Genomic DNA, 26,932 nt, shown 5'->3' with positions numbered 1-26,932 from the left:
TTTGGACAAGGTGGTATACAAATAAATGAATAAATAAATAGCTGTAAGGCCACTTGAACTGGTGGCCAAAAAGCCACTGCTATTAAGAGGCTTGAGCAGGGAAGCAAAAATGTGTGAAAATTAATCCAATAAATATATGTGTACACAATGGTTTGAACCAAAGTGACACTGAAGTCAGGAATGTCAGCTAGAATGCAACTGCAGCAATCCAGGTACATAAATAGCATTTGTATATCACATTTGCTTTCTTACCTCATTTCATATTCATTTAAACATATCTATTGAGCATCTATCAGGTGCCGGGTGGTAGGTAAAGCACTGGAGGTACATTGATTAGTCAATCAGTTATGGTCCCTGTTCTCATGGAGATCACAGTCGAGTGGGGAAACAGGCACCAGTCAAGTAATTACAAGACTGAATGTCTAATTTCGAATTACAAGAATTACCTTGAAGAAAAAGTAAGCAGTGTTATGGGAGCACATAACTAAGAGGCTTGATATCATGTCCTGGTGGGCAAGGCTTCCCTGACAGAAATTGCAGCAGAAATTTGGGATTGAATAAATATTGATTAGAAAGGGGAGTGTGGGGCAGGGAGGGGGAAAGAACACTCCAAGAAAAAAAAATGGCATGTGCAATATCTACATAGCTGGAAGGCATGTGGCCTGTTCAGGGATCTATCTGTAAGGTGCATCTGGAACACAGAGGGTAAATTGGTAATTGGTGTGGGATTATGAGTTGGGGTTGCAGACACAGGCTGGGCCAAATACTGGGAGCCGTGTAGTCTATACCTGGGAGTTTACACATTACCCCATGAGCAGTAGAAACTATTGAAAGATGTTAGGCAGGGAGGTGGGAGTGTGGACAGGGAATGAGATGGATCAGACATCTGTTTTGAAAATATTCAGTAAAGTATTTTCTCTGCTGAGTCTGGCCTCAGTAGAGAGAGAGGAGCAACAGTGGATGCAGGGAGGCCCTTATGGAATTAGGGTGGTGGTTATGGAGATAGAGAGAACTGAATGGGTTTAAGAGACAGTGGGAAGTACAGTCAGGAGTAATAGGCAACAGAACTTGGATACATGGAGTGTCAGGGACAGGCAGTGTTAGGATGATTCCTGAGTTTCTGGTTTGTTCAAATGGTTGGTGTTTGCATAGCAACCCTGTCAAGTGTGCATCATTATTATCTCATTTTACACTTACCTGAGGTTCTAAGTGGTTAAACAGTGTGCCCAGGGACACCTTTAATAGGTCACAGAGGTAGGACTCAAACTCTGGTTTATGATTTCAAAACCTGGGTTTTCTCATCTATGCTGTGCTTCTGAGTTGATTGCAGAAGGAAGAAAGACTGTAGCTCAATGATGGTGACATAAAAACGTTGGTCTTTATTATCACAGAGCCATAGAACCTTAGCATTGGGAGGGATTATAGAGAGCTTTCTGATGTGTTTTTCAAGCTTCTTTGACTGTGACTTACAGTGAGAAATGTATTTTACATCACAAATGAACACACACAGAATGGAAATAATTTCTTGACACAGCATTAATACATTGACATCTCTGTTATTTTCCATTCTATTATCTTGCATAAAAAATGCTAGTTGCTATCCACAAAATTGATTTCATGATCCAGTTAATGAATTGTTTAGACAATACTGATCTAGTCCTCTTAATTTTTAGAAGAGGATTTGAGGCCCAGAACTGGGAAGTGATTTCCCAAGATCTCACAGCCAAGAAGCAAGTGAATTTCTTACCCTTAGTCCAGTTTCTTTGTTACTTTCATAAATAAAATTGACTGATAGGTTTGTAAATTTTATCCTTTCAGAAAAAGTAGCTGTTGATAATTTTCTGCTTATTGGCATTTAGTTTGTTTCTTCCTCTAGAAGTTTTGTTTTACACTAAGGTTAGACCCTCCAGGACCCAATTAAATGAAACATTGCAAGATTTTATTTGAAAAGTAAAGGACATGGAACAGTCGAAATAATAATAGTGCATTATCTTTGAGAATCTGAGTAAGACTAATAAAAGGCCACAGAAAATGAAAAGCAGTTATCAAAGAGAGGTGATAAAAAAATGAACTTATGAAGTTACCTAAGAAACCAAGGAATAATTGTGAAGCCAAGAATAAAGACAAAATTTTTCTGCTAAGCAGAAATGCCAAATGGAGAATAGAAAGCTTTAATAACATCCAAAATCACAGGTACTATATTTCATGAGCAAAGTTTAAACATAAACGAAATATATAAGATTAAAAAGCTTAGGTAGGTAATATTGAAAAACAGTGGTACATTGGAAAAATATTTAATGGTGCTGTCAGACTGTTAAAGATTTAATAAAATGAAAATTTAAAGTTTACTCAGCTGAACTGAATTTAGAAGCTTATAGTAACATTTAGGGAGAAGACAGAGAAAGGGATTTGATTGCTAGTTTTTACACATGTCCTCTAATCTTGATGGAAATATAAATTAGTTGCTGAAAATCCTGATAAGTTTTCTGATTATTTTCCCCATCAGATAAGCACAGATGAAGCTTAGGAAGCAGTGAAACAGCTAGGACTGAGGAAAGCAGGGATCAGGAGTCTCACGGTGGGGGAGTTGGAAAATGGTAGCATGTCTCTGGTGGGAGACTTTTTTTTTTAAAGATCAATGCAAGAGGCAGAAGAGAAAATACTGTCAATCTAACTTCAGAGCATTATCCATGCAGTCACCCAAGAAGTACTTATTGAACCCTTACTGACTGGCAGATGCTGTGCTAATCTTTGGAGACAGCCTATGAATAAGACAGATCTGGTCCCTGCCCTTATTAAGTTTGCAGTCCCTTGGGTCATTCCAAACACTTGATACGTGCTGTAATAGAATAGGGACAATGTGCTAGAGAAGTAGAGAGGTATCTGATCTGGGCATGGTGGGTTAGGAAAGCCTTCCTGGAGCAAATGGCATCTGAGCCAAGACTTGAGTAGGATAAGTAGAAGTTAGGCAGATGAAGTGTGAAGTAGACAGGCTTGCTTGTTTCAAGGATTACATCATACCATGTGTTTAACATCTTAATAAAACATTAGCCTGGCACAGAATAATCTCTCATAAATGGCAATTTTTCATATTTCATTATTGTCAGTTATAGGCACTGCTCAGATGGTAACTTTCTTTTGATTTTCCATATAAAACAACCACATCACACACTGTTTCCATAAATATGGCCAATAGAATATAATATTAATGTTTAATTATTATTATTTAAAAGGTTTACAAAGTACTGATGTTTTTTCATTGAAGTCAGCTTTGCGTGGAGAAGAAAATTGCAGAGCATATCATATATTATGATCTCTCTATCTAAGGAAAATATGGTATCAGAATAATAGAACTTAAATGAACTATAGGGGTAACCTGATCCAGTCCCTCCCTTTAACACATGAAAGAACTGCATGAGCCATTTGCTGAAAGTAACAATATTGTTGTTGGTGACAAAGATGGGTCTCAAAAGCAGATGTTCAATATTCATTTCCTTTATGCCATACTGACACTTATAATAAATTGTTTTCAAGCTCTCAACTTTGATGTAAAATTGTGTTAATATTGTTTCATTGATGTTAATTTCAATCATTACCTTTGAAGTTTTCATGGGCTTCATTTTTGTTTTTCTATTACTTTGTTCTTTCTGAGAATGTGTGCTTATTAATTTCAGTTGAACCACTTTACTGTACATTAAGAGTGAGGAGTACATGTAATGCTACTAACCATTTTCATTTTAAACCATTAATTTATTATTTGCAGTAGACGAGCATATTTTAAATGTCATTTATCCTCTGTTAGGTTAAGGTCTCATTCAAAGACAACCCTTGGTAGGCATATTAAGCAAAGTATTAATTAAAACCTGGAAAAATGCCCTGTAGTTAGTAGTTTAAATAATGCTTTCCTATAACACACACTCCTGGCTGCCACTGTGGTAATGTTCTTTTGTGATTATTATTGTTACATTGTTATATGTTCACATACTCTCTTTAAAGCTATATAATTAGCAAAGCCTTTAAAATAAAACTACTAAAATGTTCTTCTGTGCTATTCTTCCTTTTGCTCACTGTTCACTCAGAGTCTTCTGTGCTTTAGTCTATTGTACTAATATTGATTCTTTTGCCCACCTGCCAGCTTTCTTATCCTTAGGCGTCTTGAAAATACCATAATTGTTTGTCATTCTCTCCACATGGAAGCCATCCACATCCCTTGAGTATCTCTGTGAGGATCCATTGGATAAGGGTTATTTCAATTGCCACCAGATTCTTCATCTTATCCAGTGTGCATTCTTAAAAGTTGTTTTGCCTTATTGCTTAGATACCAATTGCTGCTGAGCCTGTTTCTCATTATCAAGATCTTACCACTCTAGCTTCCAACAACCTTCTTTCCTTTACCCGCCCCCCTTTTTTTTTCCTGGTACCATTATAATTAGAAATAATGCTGTGAATTATTGACTTCAGGTAAAATTCTACGGGTCCCTGACCATCCCCATGATTCCAATATTAAGTAGAAGCAATTTAGTTTCTGAAGGCTGAAGCTTTGCTCTAGGGTTTTTGTTTTTTGTTTTTTACAGCATTTCTTTTCTTTTCTTTTCTTTTTTTCTTGTATTAAGATCTACAAACTATTGGCTTTTGGTTGTTGAATTTGCAGCTGTTTCAGGATTTTCTGGTGTGTACATCACTGTTTAAAAATCAACATAACTTTATCTTTTTTTTTTTTTTTTGGAGAAAAGAAGCATCATTTAGACTTGCCAAAGACAGGGAAGGGTAAATTAAATAAATTGGTGAGTAAACTGGTTATACTAGTTTTATTGGTCTGGTTATTATCTTGCTATACTTGCCTTAGGAAACAGAAATCTTTTCCATTTATAGATTTTGATTTATGCTTTTGCTTCTTTAAATCACAGGACATCATATAATATGCAAAGGTCATTCAATGACGATTCCCCTTAGTTTTAAATCAAAAAATGAGAAGAGTAGTTCTAAAACCCTAACTTATTTTCATTAAAATTTATAAAAATAGTCTCAGTGCTCAGAAAGGCTGAATTTTTCTTTTCACTGTTTCAATGTATTACAGATCTTCCTTCCTACTGCCTCAGAACCTTGAGACTACAGTATTTGATTATATAAATCTCTTTGCATATGCATTATATTTTACAGTTTATTTTGTTTTTCAATACATTTTTTAGTATGGAAAAATTTTAAAACCTATGAAAGTCTATCATCACCTAACTTCAACAGTTATCCATTCGTTAGTCAAATTTGTTTTATCTGTATTCTTACTTACTCCCTCCTGCCCCTTGAAATAATAGTAAGAATCACAAGCACCATATAATCTGTTAGTATTAAGTATCTAGCTTTAAAATTAAAGTGTATATCTCTAACGTTATAGAACATAACCATACTATTATCATACCTAAAAACTTTAACAATATTTCCTTAATAGCATCAACTAACCAATAGCATCAACTTAATAGCATCAACTAACTAATCAGTATTGAAATAGCTCTAATTATCTCATAATTTCTTTTCACATTGGTTTATTTACATCAGAATCCAAATATAAACCACATATTGCATTTGGTTAATATGTTCCATAAATGTCTATCAATTTATCCCTCATTTTTATTCTTGTAATTTGTTAAAGTTCTTTGAGTGTTCACAAATTTTAGTTTTGTGGATTGTGTTCCCATATACTGTTGCATAATGTGTTTCTCTGTTGGCTGAATTTCCTGTAACCTGATAGGTAGGTCTAGAGCTTTGATCAGATTCAATTTTATTTTTTGGCAAGAATAATTCATGGGAATGCTGTATGCTTCCATCAGAAGGAGCAATGTCTGCTTGTTCCTCTGTGATGTTAAGATTATTCCATATGTTTGTTTCCAGCTTGATCCATTCATTATAAAGTTTCCCATTAATTGTTAATATGAAATTTTTAGTGGTCATTGATGATCATTAACTAGGATCCATTATTTCAGCAATTGTTGCAAAGTGGTGTATTCTAATACTATCATTTTTTCTTATTTATCAGGCTTCATTTAAAATATTCATTTTGAAGGATTAAATAAAAGTTACTTGTTGAGCACCTGTGATGTACCAGTACTCTGCTAGGCAGTATAAGGGGAAGGCAAATGCATGGACTGTGCTCTAAGTGGAAACCAACATTTTATTCAACATACTCAGAGAGCAGTTATGGTATGGTCAGTGAAATAAGACAAGAGAGATAAAAATGGGCAGTAGAATGTTTCAAGGAAGATGTAGGCCATGAATATTTTATGAAGAAGGGGAAATCTGAGAGCATTTCAAGCAGGGGGTACTTTGAGTCACTCCATGAGCTAAGAATAGGAATGGCCATATAAGGGAAGGCAGAGGAGGAACGCTACTTAGAGATTATGTGTTAGCTACATCAAAGGGGGGCATTTGTTGGTAGTGAGAAAACTAAATTATTTAGATTCTATATTGATCAGTTGACATCATCCTTTTGAACTTTCTGATCTTGTTCTAAATACTTCTGGCAGAAAGACTTTGGATGGACTAGGGAACTACGACCAAGCTCAATGGTTTGGAAATTAGTTTGTCATAAATAAAAATTCATCCGCGCTTAAGAAATGTATGAGCTTCCAAGTCAGATGTAAAATGTAAAGAGACAGTCATGTTGATGTGTATACATAGTAATAAAAAAAATCCAAACTACCTGGTGACTTGTGGTTCCACAGACCAAACCAGGATATTTGGAAAGGAGAAGCAGGTGCACAGGGTTTGATGTGAAGCTATGGCAAAGTTAAAGATGTTGAATTTAATTTTGGAAATGTTGGATTTTAAGTGTACATACAAAAAGCTAAGTCTTAAAGAGTTTAACATAGGATTGAATTGCAGACAAAAAGATAGAGCGGATGGTATAAATTTTGTGGTCAGAAACATAGAATGAACTCCTAGAAGGGGATAAGCACATCAAATAATGAACATAGATAGAGAGGTTGGAGGTTAATGAGAGGATAATGTAGGGTTTGGATTATAGGGTAGACACAGGAAACAGGAAGAAGAGAGCAGTATCTGTTGGTAGAGAAACAGGGGAGAGAAATGTCATGACCTGGGCAGGAAAGTTTTAAGCATAAAGCAATGGTCAACAGTGTCAACTATCACCATGAGGTCAAGGAATGGAGAACAGAAAACTATCTTTTGGGTATTTAGGGGTAGATCACTGGTAATACGTGATGGGATGACAGGACACTGATTTTAATTGTAGCAAGTGAAAGATGGAAGATAAATTACAGAAAGGAAAGGTTTGAAAGCAGGTCAGGACAGAAGGCAGGGATGATCTATTCTAGGAATGGGGTTCCCAAGAAAAAGGTCAATATGATGGACAGGATAAGCAGTAGGTGGGCTAAACTGAACTGTATTTAAAAAACGGGAGTAGAAATTTCCTGGGTTATTTTGATAAACAAGGCAAATATTACTTTAGAAAATGAAATTTTTGCAAAAATGAACTTTAGAGTCACTTTAATTAATTGTATTTGTTTGACATTTTATTTATTTAATTTTCATCATATATATTACCATTAATAAATGATGCTTATATGAAATGTGTAAGAAATGAAGTATTTAACTGGGAATGCTAATATAAAAAGAATTTTGCATACCTCTACATTTCCCTGCTGTCTGCTTCCTTAGCCAGATGTATACATGGATCAGATAAGTATTTGTTTTTATTTTATTAGTTTCATTGGTTTCCTGCTTACAAGGATAATAAATACTTATTGAAAAAATGTCACCCAGCACAGAAAGGTTTAAAGAATAATTTTTTTAAATCCCAGGAAGTGATTCTATTCAGAGATAACCAATATCATTATTTGGTAAGTCCCCTTCCAAATCTCTTTCTATGCATAGATACATAGTTGATATTTTACATTAATGAGATCATACTGCAAATGTGGCTTTGTATCTGCTTTTCTGCATCTAACAATATGTCGTGGATATTTTCTATTTCCATGAATATGGAGTTATGGCATCCTCTTTCAATGGCAGTCATTGTATAAAAGAACCATAATTGATTTAAGCCATCTCTTACTGCCAGACTTTAGACTTTTTCGATTTTTCTGTTTTAAACAGCACTGTAGTGCACATTCCTGTGGGTACATTTTTGTGCACTTGTCCAGTTAATTGTCTTCTCTTTAAATAATATTCTGGAAATAGGGTTGTGGATCAAGGCTATGCATTTTTTATATTGTGACGCATATTTACATATTACCTAATACCCAATAGAAAGGCTGTAGCAAGTATACTTCTGCCAATAACACATACCAGTACCCAGAAAGTTGTTTTAAGTGTCTTACAATTATTTTTCATCTTAATTCAGGCCTGTTTTCCATTCTTATAAAATAAGAAGGCTGAAATATTGCAGAGATTCTTAAACTTTTAAGCATTTTAGGATTATTTGAGAATTTTTGAAAGTTGTTTAACCTCCGGGAAAAAAAACATAGGCAAAACCAGAAATTTTTACTTACTATTTATGAGAATACACAGATTCTTTGGAGTTAAATCATAGACTCTTTAGGAACCCTATTCCATGAATCCAGGTGAAGAATTCCTTAATTACATGATTTTAAAGTTGCTTTTTCCTTTTAACCCTAACACACACGTTTCACAGATACATCACACAGTCATGTGCACATAGAATTTAAACATTTATTTGGAAAAAAAGTGACATCTGCTTGATATAGAGCCTAGTCTTATTATGACCTATGAAATAACTTCAGTGTGCATAGTTACTGGAATGAAGTTTTTCTCTTTATTTCAGGTTCGTCAATGGCGAGCCCACCAAGAAGAGGTAGCAAGACTGGAAATGGAAATTTCTGCCAGAAGAAGAGAAAAGGAAGAGGAGAAAGAGAAACTGTGGAAGAAGAAGGAATTGTTGCAAAGAGCAGAGAAGAAAAAAAAAGTAAAAAATCTATTGTCAATACGAATGTGTGAATGAATGCTTAATGGCCTGATTGAGCTTTTTGGTCTTGGTGTTTGGCATGAAATTCTCATAAGCAGTTCTGAGAACATTCATAAAGATCTAGTGGAATGTTTTATCTAATGAAAAGTTTATTTGAGCTTCAAAGATTTGTTGACATGGAGGAGAACCCACTTTGTTGATTTGTGTGAGCACAGGTACCTGTGATTAGAAGAGGTGCTGTAGGTTAAAAAAAAAAAAAAAGACAAGGTTGTGACAGTTGTTAAATCTTGTAATAAATAGGGACGTGGCAAAAAATGAGAGGGTACTGTGCTGGGATAGTGTCTTGGTTGATGGCAATGTGGTAAATAATTGCCAAAAACATCCTTGTTGGTAGAATATATTATACTAGAGACAGTGCAATTCATGGAAAGTCAAAATGCCCTTTAGAGTTTACTTCTTGGCTGTTTATTAGATGGTTTTGTTTTTCATTTACTAACACAAATTCATCATTCCTCTTTTGAGTAAACATTTGTTGCACAATCTTAAAACTATACACCAAAAGAAGTGATTGTTGATAATCCATGGAAGATAGAATACACTTAAGGGTTGTTTTGTTTTAAATATATATGTGAGATACTTATTTAGGCATTTATGTTTTTTCCCACCACAAAAATTATGAAATTTGCCATAAAAATATTTTTGTTAGACATTTAATCAGATATATGAACCATTTTTTAAATGGAGTGGCTAAGCTCTGTAGAAATAATTCACAAAAAGTCAATTAATTTGTGATCAGCAGAGTAAAAGGAAATGTCTTTAACCTATACACCTGTTTTGACTTGATCTATATGGTGTAAAAAAAATCTTTTCTTTGGAAAAGCTGCTTGCAGTGCCAAGAATGATTAATTAATTCATGGTCATTGGTGGACAAACTTTTCATTTTTGTGAACATGGTTGACGTTTTGCACTATGTGACCAACTAAGTCAAAGAAGCTCATGCCTAGAGGTTGTTCCAAGTTGAATATGTAGAGGTAAAGGAACTATGTATTTTAAAGCTATAAGCCAGTTTTTCCACATTTTATTGTACTTCAGTTGTCATTGTTATTGATTTGTTTTGTGACTTTAAATCAGCAAATTGGTGTAGAGGCAGCATTGTGGAAAACAACATACATAGAAGTTATATGATCATTTGACAAAGTCAGCTGCTAAGAAGATATACTTCACAGTGCTTATTTTAATTCAAAAAGGAATTTGATTTCTGCTTCTAAGGAAGTAAATAGGGTGGTTTTATCAAGTCCCTATCAAGAGAGTTGATGATTAAAGGGAATAATTACATGTACCTCCAAAACTCATAAATATTGATCACGTTTCAAATAATGTAAGTGAGCTATATATCTCTGGAATAGGGGAACTTACCAATTATTTACTGTTATGAAAGTACAGTTATTGAAAAGCATATCCCTCTACTTGGGCCCTCGAAGCATTTCTTCACTGTGAATTAGCGTGACCACAAAAAGTATTATATTCGTAGGCACTTGTTTACATGCGGTGTCAACTTAAATGTCATATGAAGAGATTTGGAAACAGTTTCATTTACTGGGGGTTTACAAAGACAGGTAAAGCCATGCAAATTAAATAACTCAAGTATTGAGAATGGGAGTCGGTACAATTAATTGTGCCAATTAAGTTTGGGTTGAGGAACTGGCATGGCTACACAGGAGAGGATGGAGGGACATCACTAGTTTGTAAGATTTCTGGAAGTGAGAGAAAGGCATTTAAAAGATGAGAGAGAGAGAGCTTCCTGAGCCTGCAGATGGGGCTGACAATTGCCTCATAAACACTGTAACAAGAACTGAACAGAGTAATGGAAGGAAGAATTAAGCTATTTTAATGGCTGAGGCACCCAAAGGGCTAACCTAAATGCAGCTTAAAACAAGGACACTTAGGCCTGAAAAGATGAAGGCTGAGGAGAATTTCAGTATCATTAGTTGTGTGTGTAAATTAAATATCCTCTCCTCATCTTAGAATGCAAGATGTGATCTATACCTATGAGCATTAAAGTAGTACATGTTGAAAAAACATGAAAATCTCCATGCCTAGAATGCATTTTTGTCCCTGGTTGCATTTTGCTAAGCTTCATGCAGGGTGTTACATGTATAAAGTGTCCTGTACTTTATAGTAAAACATACTATAAGAAGTGCCCTATCAAATTTGTTGTCCTATTTATATAGAGTATAGAGGACATTACAATGCTTTGGGAAACTAAGCCAAAGTTGTGGTCAAACCCTAGCAATTGTGTAGGACCAAGGCATACGACTTATTTTATTTTTAAAATACTTTTTCATTTATAAAATATTTTTTTAAAATAGAGATTGATATGATATAGACATTAGTACACATTGGCTAGCATTAAAATGTTAACATTTTTCATTTTGTTTCAGATTTTTAAAATTTAAATAAAGGAGAGAATATTACAGATAAAGTTGAAATCCTCTTTTGAGAACTTCCTCAGTACCATTTCCCTTCTTTCCTCCCCAGAGACAATCATGATCAGGAATTTTACTTCTATCTTTCCAGGCCATATATAGATTTTAAGATATTTTGACATATAATTTGTGACTTTAATTTTTTCATGAACACTATCATGCTATGTCATTCTGCAGTGTTTTAAAAATATGTCTATGTTTCAGGGGGTGGGGGACAAGGGGAGGGAGAGCATTAGGACAAATACCTAATGCATGCAGGGCTTAAAACCTAGATGATGGGTTGATGGGTGCAGCAAACCACCATGGCACATGTATACCTATGTAACAAACCTGCATGTTCTGCACGTGTATCCCAGAACTTAAAGTAAAATAAAAATATAAATATACCTGTGTTAGTAATACACATAGACCTAATTCACTCTGTTTTTTTGAGACAGAGTCTCGCTCTGTCGCCCAGGCTGGAGTGCAATGGCGTGATCTTGGCTCACTGCAACTTCTGCCTCCAGGGTTCAAGTGATTCTCTTGCCTCAGCCTCCTGAGTAGCTGGGATTACAGGTGCCCGCCACTATACCTGGCTAATTTTTGTATTTTTAGTAGAGACGGGATTCACTATGTTGGTCAGGCTGGTCTCAAACTCCGGACCTCAGATGATCCGCCCGCCTCAGCCTCCCAAAGTGCTGGGATTACAGGTGTGAGCTACCATGCCCGGCCTTTTAATTGCTACATAGTGTTCCGTAGTAGAAGTGAGCTAGCATTTATCCATTCTCTTTGGTGGTTGACATTTAAGTTTCCAAAGTTTTGTTCGTATAGGCTGTGCTGCAGCAGCCAGCTTGTACTGATGCGTGTGTTCAGGCTTTCACTAGGGTGTACCTAGAAGGAGAATAACTGTGTTGTAGATTCATATACTTTCAACTTTATAAGATTTTGGGGGGTGGTTTATAAGATACTACAACTTTGCTTTTTTACTTTTGTCAATTTGATAAATTTTAAAAGTATCTTATAAATATTTTAATTTGTATTTCCATGATCATTTGTGAGGTTGAAAATCTTTCATGTTTACTGGAGAGTTTTCTTTCTCTGTAACTCACTTATTCATACTTTTAAAATCCATTTTTTAAATTAATATGTAAAAGCTCTTTATAAATTCTAGATACTATTTCTTTTTGTAGTTATATGGGTTGCATGTATTTTCACCCGTTGGTCATTTGCCTTTTAATTTTGCCTGCAGTATCTATATTGCCATGGAAATTTAAAACGCTCAAGTAATCAAGGTTATTAAACTGTTTCTTATGAATTATGCTTCTCTTCATGAACTGTGACCTGGTAGCAAGAGCATCTCTACAGGTGGCTCTTACATGTGTCTCTGTTGAAGGTCATATGCATTTTACCCTTTGGCCTGGAAACAATTTTCCTATCAGTTTCTAGACTTGGGACACTATGCCGTGAGCCTAGAGTGCATCAGATTTAGGGCTAGTGCACAGCACTGGTCTGGGGTTCTGCACTTGACCCTTTTCTTCTCTGGTCTCCCTGGAACTTTTGCAGAGAGTGATTATGGTGTATCTAGTCCCTATTTTGTATCTGGACAAGTCCTATGTGACTTTGTGCTATTTTTAAGTAGCTTGATTCCAGCTCCCGTGAGCACAGGTCCCATGACAAATGTTAAAGGCCCGGCCACCAGCTATGCAGACCTATACTGGGTCCCAGTTTTCCTCAAGTCCTTAGGCTTCAGCTCTCTCTGACTGCTCTGACTTTAGGTTCCATGTTTATTTTTGGCACTGGGGCAGTGTGTGTGCGTGTATGTGTGTGTGTAGTTGTGTTATAGTTTGTCCAGCATTTCTATGTGTTTGAGGTAGGAAAGGAGATTTCCATGTCAACTCAGAGATACTGACCAGAAGTTCTAGCTGTCTTTACATATACTCACCACAAACCTAGATTATCTTTGTTTTAACTATTTTACTGTTGGAGATACATTTTGGTTCTTCAGCGTTTAACAGCAGCTTGGCAGAAAATTACACCAGCAGCCCCCTGCTGTCATGAGAGGTGTTGCTTTGGTAGCTGGTGCTCTGTTTTCCCCCCATCTGCTGTCTCATCTACCTGGCTTTCCCTTTTCCTAAGGGACTGGCAGTAGAGGCAGAGAAACTGTGCCATGTGCAAAACTCCACCATACAATTTCTGAACAAGAGGTAATCTTCCTCCTAATTCTTCTTTCCAGCAATTTGTCTGTTATGACCAATTTACTGGAATAATATTTTGGTTTGTATTCGATGCTAATTTTACCCTTGCAGTTGCCCAGCTCCTTAAATCACTTTTTCTTCTATGCTTTAAAACTCAAGTTGAATATAATAGTTACAGTTTTCATAGTTTTAAGACTCAAAGAAAGTTTTGATTCCTAAGTTGTTAGATGATATTGATGTTTTTCAGGAGCATCTCTCTATTTCTGAAATTGTTGTCATGATAAAATCAAAAGATAACACCTCTCTATAAATGATCCCTGGGAGCTATTGTAAGAAACAAAATTTCCTTGCTAGATGGACCTTATATAATATTGGTTCCCATACCACCCTTTCTCTAGATGTGGCTCTTTGTCTAGCTTAAATCACAGAAAAATTTCTCTGCATTATTGAGGTTTAGGAGATGTTGTTGCTGCATGATGCCTAGTTTAGAGTTCCACAGAATCCATTACAAGGATGGTTCTAGCCTCACTTCCAAAATGGAGATTTTAGCAAGACTCACATAAAAAGAAGACATATCTCTCCCCTCGTCTAGCGTTTCAAAATTCTCTCTAATTTTGCCAACTCCTAATCTGCACACCAGACACTTTGTGCAATTGAGGAGTGGGGAGCATTTTCAAGGATATCAGGATACCTCTGCTGTGACCTTCAGCCTTACCTTAGAGATCTTTCTGGGGAGGGATCTGCCACTTTGTGAATTCTTAGCTTCTTGTAACATCATACCAATAAATACCAAAAGACATGGCTTTGGTAGAACATTGGCACTTGGGTGTTCCCCCACCCCCTCAGGGGATCTCATAATACCCAAATTACATGTTTCCTGCAGAGAACCAAGAAGAGGAGAAATAGTCTAAAACAAAAACCAGTAGACTGTCATAAACAGAATGCAGGTTAAAGGACTGTAACCATTCTTATTTCAGAAGACTCCAGAAGCTCTTGCACAGGAGAGAATTCAGAGTACCTCCCCATTTCAGATCTGAACCATTCTCCCAGTGTGGGAATTTGTAGGTTCTTATCAGGGCAATGAATCATGACATTATAAAATCTGTTCTCCAGCATCTTTTATTCTAATAGTATACTGATCTAAAGAGCTAAGAGTAGAAAAAATGGTGAGCACAGAAGAATGATTTTTTAAAAAATTCCCAGGCTTTAAACTCTGCTTTTTCAGGATTGTTGAATTTAAAGGGGTCGGTCAATGAATAACACCAAAATAAGTAGGCTTCTAAGGTGGGCTATAGGATCCCCTACTCACCCTCCAGCCGTGGCCTGTATAATCAACCAGACCATAAATACTGTGGATTTTACTCCCACGATTGGGTCAGATTATATGGCACAGAAGACCTTAAAATTATCAAGTGGTCCTGACCTAATCACATGAGCCCTTTAAAGGCAGAGTGATAGCAGACTGGGGTGGTAAGAGATTTGAAACATGAGAAGGATGTGACCACCATTGATAGATAAAAGACTGAGGGAGTCACATGGCAAGGAATGTGGTGGCCTCAAGGAGATGAGGGTGGCCCGGGCTGATGGCCAGCAAGGAAATGGGACCTATAGCCTACAGGCCCATAGCCATAAAGAACTGGACTTTTATGAATGGGATTGGAAGCAGATTTTTTCTCCAGGTGAGAACTCAGTTTTGTCAATACCTTGATTTCAGCCTGGTGATACCATAAGCAGAGAGCCCAACCACACCATGCTAGACTTCTGGTTTACAGAATTCTGAGCTAGCAAGTGAGTGTTGTTTTAAGCTGCTAAATTTGAGGCAATTTTTATACAACAACGATTTAAAAAAAACTAATACAGATTTTAGTATCTGGAAGTGAAATGCTGCCATAACAAATACGTAAAAATGCAGAAGTGGCTTTGGAATTCATAAGTGGGAAGAGGCTGGAAGAATTTTAAGGATGTCATCTTGAGGATGATAGAAAAATGCTAGAATACCTTGAATCAACTGTTAGTAGAAATATGGATGTTAACAACGTGACTGGTGAGGGCTGAGGAGGAAGTAATGAATGTATTATTGGAAACTGGAAAAATTAGGATGGATCACTGTTAATGTGGTGACAGAAAGCCTAGGGCAGTCATGTCCTGCAGTTAGATGGAAAACAAATTAACCAGAAATGAACTTCCTAGTTGATGAACTAAGATATCAAAAAAAAAAAATGTTGAAGGTGCCACCTGGATTCTTTCTGCTGCTTATAGTAAAAAGAAAAGAGATAAATAGAAGGAAGAAATTTAAGTGAAAAGGATCAAGACTTGATGCTTTGGGGACTTCTTGACCTATCTAGATTGGAAAAGATCTTAGAGTTAACAAATTACTGCCAACAGTATGGCATGAAGAACAGACTGAGGTGTGAATATACAGTCCTTTGTTTTAGTCTTGAAAAGATCAAAAGTCAGAGTATTTAGTTATATAAAAGACCCTTCTGGGAGATCAACGGTGCTTCTCATGGATCTTTTCAAACTAGCAGGCCTCCAGGAAGCTTAAGAGTGGTATCCCTCAGCCATCTCGGCAGGAGACCGAGAGAGACGAGATTATTTCAAAAAGATTGTGGTATAGCTTTTGTCTGAGGTAGTGAATTCCCAAAAAATCCACAGAGGTCCTGCTGGGTTCTTGGGAAAATTTTATTAGAAACACTGCCAGCTTGGACTGAAAGGGACAGAGAGAGTATGATGTGAAAATGGGCTAATAGTCCCCCAAAATTTGATTATAGTGATGGGAGGCAGGCTGATAAAACGACTCAAATGCAAGTGCCTACTACCATTCAAGAAGAAGGACGAATGACCCTTGAACCAAGAGGGCAGAATTTAATAGCCCAGGTATTAGAGACTGTGGCTGGCCCCTGTGGCCCCTTGCATTTTTTTGATACTTCCATCATTGAACAAACCCACCTCTCTAGGCTCAGAAAGAGCTGTGACTATCCAGATCCTCCTGTAAAAGCACAGGCTACTTACTGCAAGGCAGAGAAAGGGGAAAGTGCCGCCTGAAGACAGACGGCATTTTAAGAGAGAGACAGGGCTGAGCTGAACTTGTTCAGTCATTTCTCCCACATTTGCCAATCAGAATGACAGGCCATACTGTGAACCCTCCTGGGGAGAGGAAGTTCCCAGCTATGTGAGGAGTGGAAGATGAGCATTCCCCCTAAGAAGAGTATAGGGTAGCTTCCATATCCCCTGGTACATCCATGGTACTGAAATGATATTTCACTAAAGGCTCAATAGAAGGAGAGCAGTCCAAAGACACCTTTATTCAACTATATGTTGGCCTTAAACCTATAACTAAATGGTTCACTAACAACCTCATTAAGACCTGAGCCAAGAAGTTCCTAGATATGGAGGTATTGGAGTTGATCTAAGAGGATGTATTTACCAGAATAAAGATGAAGAAGAGCCATGGTGGAAGGAGAAAAAAAAAAAAAAACTACAGAGTGGGTAGCAGATGTGGAAGGCCATGAATTCAGTGAGCCCACTGCAAGTGGGGAATGGCTCAGGGTGGTATTGAGCATGGGGCTTTTTGCGTTCCCTCAGACCTGAGCTGGAGTTCCAGCACTGCCACTTCTTAACTGTGGGGCCTTGAGGGAAATTACTTTTTCTCCATTTCAGTGTTTGTGTCTGTGTGCTATTTGCATTTGTATGATAAGAAAATGCATGTGAAGCAGTTTGCACGTGGCTGGCACTTAGAAAGGCCTCAGTAAATGATGTTCTAATTGTTACTTTTATTATTGTTACCCCAGTGGAATGGTAGAGCAGAAGGCAGTTAGAAAAATCATGAGAACCAAATAGAAAAGGTAGAAACGAGATAAAGATAATAATAATGAGAGGCAGTGGTTTTAATGCTGATTCAGAAACTATTGTCATGAATACAGTTCTTTTTCTCTTTGCCTGGTTACTCTTTACCAAGTAACAGAATGTCTCTAGAATGGCAGAACTATACCAACACTAGTGACAGTGGAATCCATTGAAAGGTCAAGTAAGAAGAAATGTTCTAATTACAGCATAGGGCATGCAGAAATAGTTATCCACTTTAAAGCAAAGAATCTTTGACTCATTAGTAAGTACATCCTATGGTTCTAAGTGGCAATCATCAACAAAATGTACTGATTAGCACCTAAATAGTTCAAACAAATAAAACATATACTAACTTCATAAGTTTCATGACTTGCTGACCTTATTGTAAACTATATACATAAGTCTTCTAATCTGTGTTTTATTTTGAAATCCCAAAGTCACCTTTCAGAAAATACTATGGCTCAACATATTTCATTTACTGTTATATTGAGTATTGGTACGAATGTCCTCCAGCACATAGTACTATGTGGCATTTGCCTCCTTTCCAATAGCCTCCCCACCCTTTAACATAGGATAATGGTATCAACTCCTAGTAAGATACATTCACAATAAGATTGTGTATAATTCCAAAGGGGGCATTAAGGGTCCAAACAAAATGATCATTCATTCATTTGCTTGTTCAATAAGTACATACCAAGTGCCTTTATTGTGACATGTATTATACCCAATCCTCCATTCTCCATACCTCATGCAATTATAAGAGATCATCCACTCAAGAAATTGCCCCCTTTCTCATCTCTGTTTAAAGGGAGGTGTTTACCTGCTCGGCCACAAACTGATATACAATTCTTAGGTCAATGGGAGCTCTTATTAATAATACAGAAGGATATCTTTTAGCTTCAGACTTTATAAGCACAACAAAAAGAGTTAATAGAGAAAAACTAAAAATATAAAATGAACTATATAGAGTTTGTTACTGGTTAAATTAAGCATGCCCATATATAGCAAATTAAATACATTTGTGCATATACATACATACATATATGCATACGCAAATATATGTATATGCATGTGTACACACACATGTAGAGTGTGACTTTGAGATTTACTTCCTGCTTTCTCAGGGAGTATCAACAAAGCCTTAACCTAACCTAACCTAACATTAACCTAAGTTGGAGCGGTTAGGAGAGTGCCTTTGTTCTCATCCATGCCTAGACCTCCTTTTATTTCCTGTTCCAGTATCATCAAACTGTAATTTGGGCATCTGTCTTCACACTCACCCATGCTGGTCTGACTGCTTCCTAGTGTGAATACTCTTATGCTAACAGAAGTGATTAGTTTTGCTATAGCTAATCAAAGTTCAGGCCTTAGAGTATAGACTTTTTGCCCTAACTGACTCCAATAGGGTTTATTAACTCTCTTTCTATTAATTTACCTGTTTCCATTGAGGCCTTTAATTGTTGCAGGCGTGTGTGTACTGTAGGAATTGCAGGATATGGGACTGTCCTCTGCAGTTTTCTTTGATTGCCTGTGACTGAATGCCTTTCATCTCCATCGAATGCTCTGCTGTTGAGGGAGAGTGATACAGATCTCAGGGCTTCAGGCGGTGGGAAAATCAGAGTGCTGCCTGGAAGCCAGCACATAGCAGAGAGGTCCCTGTGAGATGGTACCTGCTGATCCTGGCCCAGGTCATCCATTTCTTCCAGGTCCTTTTCCCTCATGACTCTCCTTGTTAACCTTGTGTAACAGAGAGGCTGATACTTCTTTTAAAGAGGTGTGTGTGTGTGTGTGTGTGTGTGTGTGTGTGTGTGTGAGAGAGAGAGAGAGAGAAAGAGAGAGTGATCTAACTGGATCCCAGTTAGACAAACATGACTTAAACTGTAAATATTGTCAGTTTATATAATATGTTACTAGGGCCACCTGAAATGTGAACACAAAAATCCCATGGCAGGACTCAATAGTACAGTGTCATTCAGATGATCTAAAGTTGGCTTATAGCACTCTTTTTACATGTTTGTAAACCTGAGAATATGGAGTATAAGAACTCTCATAGACTTCTTAGACCCTGGAAACATGTCTTTGAACCACTCTGAACACCAACTTGGGCTTGGCTCTAACATCCATCCACCGAGATCTCTCACAGCAAGCATCCTCACTGCAAAAGAACTTGCTGCCAGTAGAGCTGAAGTGTCCCCACTTGGCTGAGGGCCACTCTGATTAACTGCTTCCTACCCTCCCTTTTGTGATTCTTTCAATTAATAACTCCTAGACATGTGATCTTGCAAAGTTTAAGGGAGTATTTTTTATTTAGTTATTAGTCTTTTTCTTTGGGAATCTGATGGAGTACTGCAAACATGGGAACTAAAGAAAAAAAAAACCTAATTGGTAAATTAATTATCAGGATAATATAATGGTCAAAAGGAGACGATAGCATATGTTTTTTGTAGACAAGACTCCCAAGTAAACTGGGATTCAGACCTTATTTTCTGAAGATTTAATATTGGTTCTTTTAGTATTATTGTATGTGTGAAGAAATTAAGTAGAATAGGAGGTTTAATTATGCAGAAGAAATAAACTAGGGATCATCTAATTTTTAAATGTTCATAATGTTCCTTGTTTTGTTATTAAAACTTAGAAATAAACATTATTTTATTAAATTAACTTATTAATTTAAATCAACCTTATTAATTTAAATTAAATTAACCTTCTAACATGAGACTGAGCACACGGTCAACTCTTGGTACAGTATATGAGTCAATAGGTAACAGAAAAGTTGTGGTGGTAACCCACAGATGGTAGAATGGTAATCCGAGAAGCTCACTTTTCTGGTTTCAGCTGTCTTGTAAAAATAAAAACTTCCACTAGAGCATCTTTTTAAAAGGTAGAAAAGCTGATGGAATCTTTCTACCCTCTGTCAGGACATAGTTTTAAGAAAAAGCCAGGGGTGGGTGGGGAGGGAGAGAGAGAGAGAGAGAGAAAGCCTGGATAATCAGGAGCCAGATGTATTTGTTTTTCTGGAAAAGACTTCCCATTAGACAGTTTTAGAGAAAGAATCTTGAATTTAACTCCAGGTATAAATTTTTGACTGTACTTTCTGGCTAGGTCTTGATTATTCATAGGGATTTGATTTAATTAACAGATACCTAAACAGTACTTGCTATGTGCAAGGCAGTATTCCATGTTCATTTAATCTTCTTAACAGCCCTAAGGGGTAGATACTTATATGATCCTCATTTCATAAATGAAGAAACTGAGGCACATAGGGGTTATGTAATTTCCCCAAAGTCACATGAACATTAAGTGTGCAGTAAGGATTTGAACCTGAGTGGTCTGACCGGTATGATTTTAGACACTGTGCTATGCTCCCCATCATCATGATTGCTGTGTGCTGTTAATTTTGTGATTAATTAATTTTGAGAAATCTCAGTTTCAAACTATTTACTTTCGGGTCGCTTTAATGGCTTTGGTCCTGTCCTGGTTTACTCAGAACTATTCAGTGGCTAGGTAATTGATAATCTTAAAACTCTTTATTAGTACCTGCCTGCTTTCTAGTAGAATTTCTTTTGTGTTCTAAAAGTTCACACTGCTTACTATGTCTGTCTCCCTACTCTTCTTAAAATTCTTTCAAGATTCTTCCCTCTGAGATAATGAATTATGATGTGTAAACACTTACAGGACACCAGACCATTATAATATGATCATAGTTGAAGTATCAAGACATGTGTTATGGAACAGATAAAAAATACCTTCTTCATCGCCTCCTCAGTGCCATTCTTTTGTTAAGCAGACTGAAGAAAATGTAATGATTTTGGTGTGATTTCTTTTCCTACTGACATCATATTTCACAAGAAGAGAATTTCCACAGGTTTCCAATATGACATCTGCCCACCTCTCAGAATCTGTACCCCTTACCTCCCCTTACCTCTTTTTACAGTGCATGACGTGTCATGCTCCTGTCTAAGGCTAGTCCCTCCATTTGTGCATGGAATCCTGTCCCCCTTCTCCTGCTCAAGTTTATCCCAATTTCTCTCCCACCACCATCCCCCTTTTTCTAGCTCTTTCCAGGTACCCTAAAAATACACCATTATGACCTTCATCTATAAACTACCCTCCCTTGATCCCACATGCCCTCTTCAGAAAATCTCATCATTCCCTGGCCTATACACAGTGTCTCCAGTGTCTCTCCTCTCATTCCCTCTTGAACCATTTTGTCCCTCCGCTCCAGCAATGTCGCACTTGCCAACATCATTGCTTACCTCCGTATTTCAATGATCAATTCTTTGTCTTCACCTTACTTGAATTATTATGATGGAATTGATCACTGCCTCCTCCTTGGAAAACTTGATTCCCTTGGCCTCTAGGAAGCCATTCTTTCTTTGTTCCTCTGTCTTACTGGTATCTTCCTCTCAGTAAACTCCTCACCGTTCCATCTTCTAAGCTTTGGAGTCTCCTGGGGTGGCAGGGTGGGGGTCAGTCCTCTCAGTATGTGTACTCTGTAATGATCTCAGCCAATCCATATGACTTCGTATACCATTTATTTCCTAATACCAATTCATACCTTTGGCCTGGACTTTTCTTTTGAACTCCAAACTCATATGTGTTAACTCCTCAAATCTAATATTCCCAAACTGTATTCTTGCTTTTGTCTCCAAAATACTCTTTCCCTAGTTTTTCTTTTTTCAGTAAATGGAAATCTAGTCTGCTAGCACTCAGGCCGAAAGGCTTGGTATCCTCTCTGACTTCTGTTTCCGCCCTTATACGCTTACCTGTTGGCATGGATAGAAGGCTGTACCTTTAAAATATAATTAGGACTATTATAATAGCTTCCTAATCTCCTAATTAATATGTCCCCTCCCTTTCCATTTCCACTCTGCCTCTCCAATCAGTTTCCCACACAGTAGGCAGACCGATCATTCTAAAACTCACTTTAGATCATGTCACTGCTCTGCAGAAAACACGTCAATGACTTCCCATTCTACTCAGAATAGAATCTAGAAGTCTAGAAGGGACATACAGGGCCCTGTGTGATCTACCTCTCTGCTCTGCTCCGATACTTCTTAAATCTCATATCCTACTCCTCTTCCCATCGTTGAGCTCCAGCCCAAGCAACCTACTTCCTACTCCATGAACACTCGAGCATATGTCCTCTCAGCCTTTTGCTCAGGTTTGGAGCACTGCTCTCCCAGATGTCTGCATGACTCACTCCTGCACAGCATTCAGGGTCCTGCACAAATGTCATCTTAGAAAGAAAGTCCTTGATGGCCCAACAAAAATGGCATCCTCTTTCTCTGTCACTATCTATTTATCCTGCTTCATTTTTTCCTTAGCACTTGTCACTCCCGACATCTATTTATTGACTATCTTCACTCCCACTTCTAGAATGTAAGCCCCATGAGAAAAGAGAATTTGTCTAGTTTCTTTATTGCTTTAGCCCCAGTGCTGGCACAGGGCACTCAAAATTAGTGATTGAATAAATGAATTAAATGAATGAAAAGTATATCACTCTCCTTTGATGTTATGGTGTAGAGGAAAGCATGCCAAGCTGAGAGGTCTTAACAAGAGCGGTGACCTTAGCAAGTTATGTAGGCTCTGTGGGTTTTGCCTCCTTAGTTGTAAAATGAGGTGTTTTGATTAAATGATTGCAAAAATCACCTTGGTTCTAAGTCATGATTGAATGACTCAGGTTTGATTACTTTTCACTTTTCACTCTCTCTGACACTTCAGGTTTTGAAATACAACATCCTTAGTCTATATACTCCCTTCTTAATGAATAGTGAAAAGAGAGAAATTAAACAGGATTACAGGCAAATTCATTTCAGCCATATCAACATATGACATGATCATTATGCAATATTTCAATGCCCATACTGAAAACAGACCTTCCTCCTAAAGAAGACATGACAGTTATTTTTTAATCCACCTGGCATTTCAATTAAGGGGGAGATAACTAATGTGTTTACCCAAGAATACTTTCTTGGCTCATCATGTTATAAGGACATGGGACTGCATCACAGCAGAAAATAGCTTACTGCCAATTTGAGTGGGAAGCTTTGCTATGGGAAAATGCTCACATAAGTGACCAAAGTAAACATCACCTAAAAGAGATTAGTGTTATTTATTTATGCATATAGACATCATCTACTTCCAAACAATTTATAATAAAAGGCATTAATACTTTAGTGCTGGATATCTTCTCCCTGAGTCGTATCACTCTCCATTCTGCTCTGTAGCACAGTTTTCACACATGGCTTCCTTGCCCTCTGGCTTTTGGTTTGGTTCAGCCGAAGTGGAACATGGGAGATCAAGGTGAGGGAGAGGTGTGGGGTTTGGATAGTTGTTTCTGCAGCTCCTTGCCCTGCAGGGTTGTACTGACCAGTTGTGTCCTTCACCAAAGATCTCAGCTCCCGTCAGGGGTCCTCCTCACCCAGCACTGTATGAGCCCTTGCGGTTGCCCTGCATTCCCACCCTCCTTTGTCGGTTGTCCGCTTATTACATTCTTCTTAACTTATCCTAATTTTCAGTGTGCCATCTGTTTCCTATTAGGAATCATTAAAATAGAAAGTCAGTAAAAGAATAAAAGATGAGAAATTAAGGGAATGGGAATATCATTATGTCAGCAAACAAGACTAAAGAAGGGTGTTGTAATTGAACATGGTTAAAGTTAAAGGGAAACATATAGCTCTTATTTGCTAATAATAGAGAACATACCAGCAGATCAGCAGCTGGCAGCATGTATTGGGAGGAGGAGTACAACCCACTCAATGGATAGCATTTTCAGTAGAAATTTTACAAGAGCCTAAGTCAATCTTCTTATGAGATTGTACCAGCCTTTATAAGACCTGTGGCATAAAATTAAATCATGATTCTTTGAAACTTTTCTACAGAAAATGAAACTGCTGCCACATGCAAGGTGATAAGAAAAATGTTATATAGGAATATATGTAGGATTCTTGTCATTTGACCTGATACAGGAATAGAATTTGGAAACTTCAGGAATGAATAATAGTTATGCCCTTTACATGCTCCTCCCAAATATTAATTTCCTTGGCCAGACATTATAAAAACTGGCCATAATATACTTACACATAATATACACAATATACTTTTGTAGTTATTACTATTATTATTTTTAACTTTTATTTAAAGTTTAGGGGCACATGTGCAGGTTTGTTACGTAGGTAAACTTGTTTCATGGGTGTTTGTTGTACAGATTATTGTATCACCCAGGTATTAAGCCTAGTACCCATTAGTTATTTTCCTCATCCTTTCTTTCCTCCACCCTCCACCCTCTGGAAGGCCCCATTGTGTAATTATAAAGTATTTTATGTCCATTGTAGATAATTTGGAAAATGCAAGCAAGCATACAAAATACAATAAAAATCACCCAAAATCCTAAACCACTGCCAAAAGAAAATTAACAGTGTCTTTACACTCTTTTTTCTACATATCCAAGAACTTTAATTTAACTAGAATCACACTATATATGTTATTTTTAACAAGATTTTTTTCTTATTGACCAACATTTTGCATATTTTCCCCTTTTTCTCCTGCCGCATAATTTTTAGTGGTTGCATAGTGTTACATCAGAATAGTGCATTTTGCAAATCTTGCAACTTGGGATCATTACATTGTTTCCAATTTTTCACCCTTTTAAGGTTGTGATGAACATTTCTGCCTATAAATCTTTGCATAGATTCCTGCCTGTTAATTCTTAAAAGTTTATTTCTTAATTCTTAAGATTTTTACTAGTTATTTTCTTATTTTTATTTTTAAAAATTTATTCTTCAGAAAAAGTATGACAATTTACCCTCCTACCAGAGGTAAATGAGCTTGTTTATCACCTTGGAGATTGGTTGCTAAAATGTTCAAGTTTAAGGCACTGATAAGTAGCTGAAACGCAAACAGTTTTAATTGCAGACTGAAAGGAGATCCATTAAGTTCAAATAACCAGGCAGGATGGTTGCCAAATTGACTTTCTATTTTGAAAACGAAGGATTAACTCTGTTTTCTTACTCATGTAGAGAGTTTTTCCATCTTTGCATAATAAATGCCCTGGATGGTAATTCTTTTGAAGTCAATTTTTTTTTTTTGAGATGGAGTCTCGCTCTGTTGCCCAGGCTGTAGTGCAATGGCATAATCTCGGCCCGCTACAACCTCTGTCTCCCAGGTTCAAGTGATTCTCCTGCCTCAGCCTCCCAAGTATCTGGGATATTAGGCACACACCACCATGCCCAGCTAAGTTTTGTATTTTTAGTAGAGACAGGGTTTCACCATGTTGGCCAGGATGGTCTCTGTCTCTTGACCTCGTGCTCCACCCACCTCGGCCTCCCAAAGTGCTGAGATTACAGGCTTGAGCCACTGCACCCAACCTGAAGCCAATTTTTTATTCAGAAACTTAAGCCAGTCCCAGGTTGAAGCACACGGAGATCTCTATACCATCAAACTACAGAAGAGGTAATGTTGGCTGAAAGGTTTTGAGAGTAGGAATGACTAAGTATAGAATACCTTTAATCTGGCTTCCATGAGCAGTTTGACCTAGAGATGTACCAGGTCCCCATTCTCTGTTGGGATTAAATGCACCTCCAAACCCCTGCATGAACTGGCTAAATGAACTGGCTCACTGTTTGAAAAGTTGCCTATCCAGATGTTTTTGGATTCATATGAGCTGATATAAGAAAAGTATTTTGGGCAATGCTATCTTTCTATATTCTTTTTCATTGGATCAGTTTAGCAAATGTATACCTTGTATCTCTCATCTGAAAGGTGCAATACTAGATACAAATAAACATGATAGTATAAGGCATGCTCCTTACCATTCAGAAGTTCACACAAAGTTGTAAAAACTATGTGGCAAAATATAGATAATTGTAAAATTGATCATATAGAAAGAGGAGTCATACTTCAATTGGTGGTGATTTTAGGGGGTACAGGAACCATCATTGATCTAAATGAAGTACATGGGAAAAATTATAGTAAAAAAAGAATGCTTTTCTATTAAGACATCCTGTTATGTTTTTACATATAACAATGCTATGTATATGTAAAACATACTTTTTGTGTGGAGTTGCATATTCCAGGCCAAAAGTAGAAAGGGGATCTTTTTAAATAATTGATACATAGTGATTGTACAAATTTCTGGGGTACCTGGGATATTTGATACAAGCATAAAACATGTAATAATCAAGTCAGAGTAATTGGGATATCCATTACCTCAAACATGTATCATTTCTTTATGTTGGAAACATTCCGAATATTCTCTTCTAGCTATTTTGAAAGATACAATGAATTGTGATTAACTATAGTCATCCTACTGGTGCTATTGAACACTAGAATTTATTCCTTCTACTTAACTGTAGTTTTATATGCATGAAACAACTTCTCTTCATCCCCTGCCCCTTACCCTTCCCAGCCTCTAATAACCACCATTCTACTCTCTACCTTAAAAATAGGATGCAAGGAACTATCTAATTAGAATCTAGAAAATGGAA

The 26,932-nt window shown here is 37.0% G+C and overlaps 1 protein-coding gene and 1 long non-coding RNA gene across 3 annotated transcripts in view; one reads left to right on the top strand and one right to left on the bottom strand.

Moving 5' to 3' along the window:
• Window positions 1-26,932, top strand: part of CCDC148 (coiled-coil domain containing 148) — a 285,681-nt gene that overhangs the window by 197,044 nt on the left and 61,705 nt on the right. For both annotated transcript variants that reach the window (NM_001301684.2, NM_138803.4), the window contains one exon: window positions 8,798-8,938. In NM_001301684.2, the coding sequence (NP_001288613.1) occupies window positions 8,798-8,938 (141 nt within the window). The remainder of the gene's footprint in view (window positions 1-8,797; window positions 8,939-26,932) is intronic.
• The window catches only part of CCDC148-AS1 (CCDC148 antisense RNA 1), a 69,520-nt gene continuing 66,128 nt past the window's right edge, over window positions 23,541-26,932 (bottom strand). The window contains exon 5 of the long non-coding RNA NR_038850.1: window positions 23,541-23,980. This is a non-coding gene — a long non-coding RNA (CCDC148 antisense RNA 1). The remainder of the gene's footprint in view (window positions 23,981-26,932) is intronic.

Source organism: Homo sapiens, chromosome 2 (genome assembly GCF_000001405.40).
Source record: "Homo sapiens chromosome 2, GRCh38.p14 Primary Assembly".
Lineage (NCBI taxonomy): Eukaryota > Metazoa > Chordata > Mammalia > Primates > Hominidae > Homo > Homo sapiens.
This window is presented reverse-complemented; position numbering and strand designations above follow the sequence as displayed.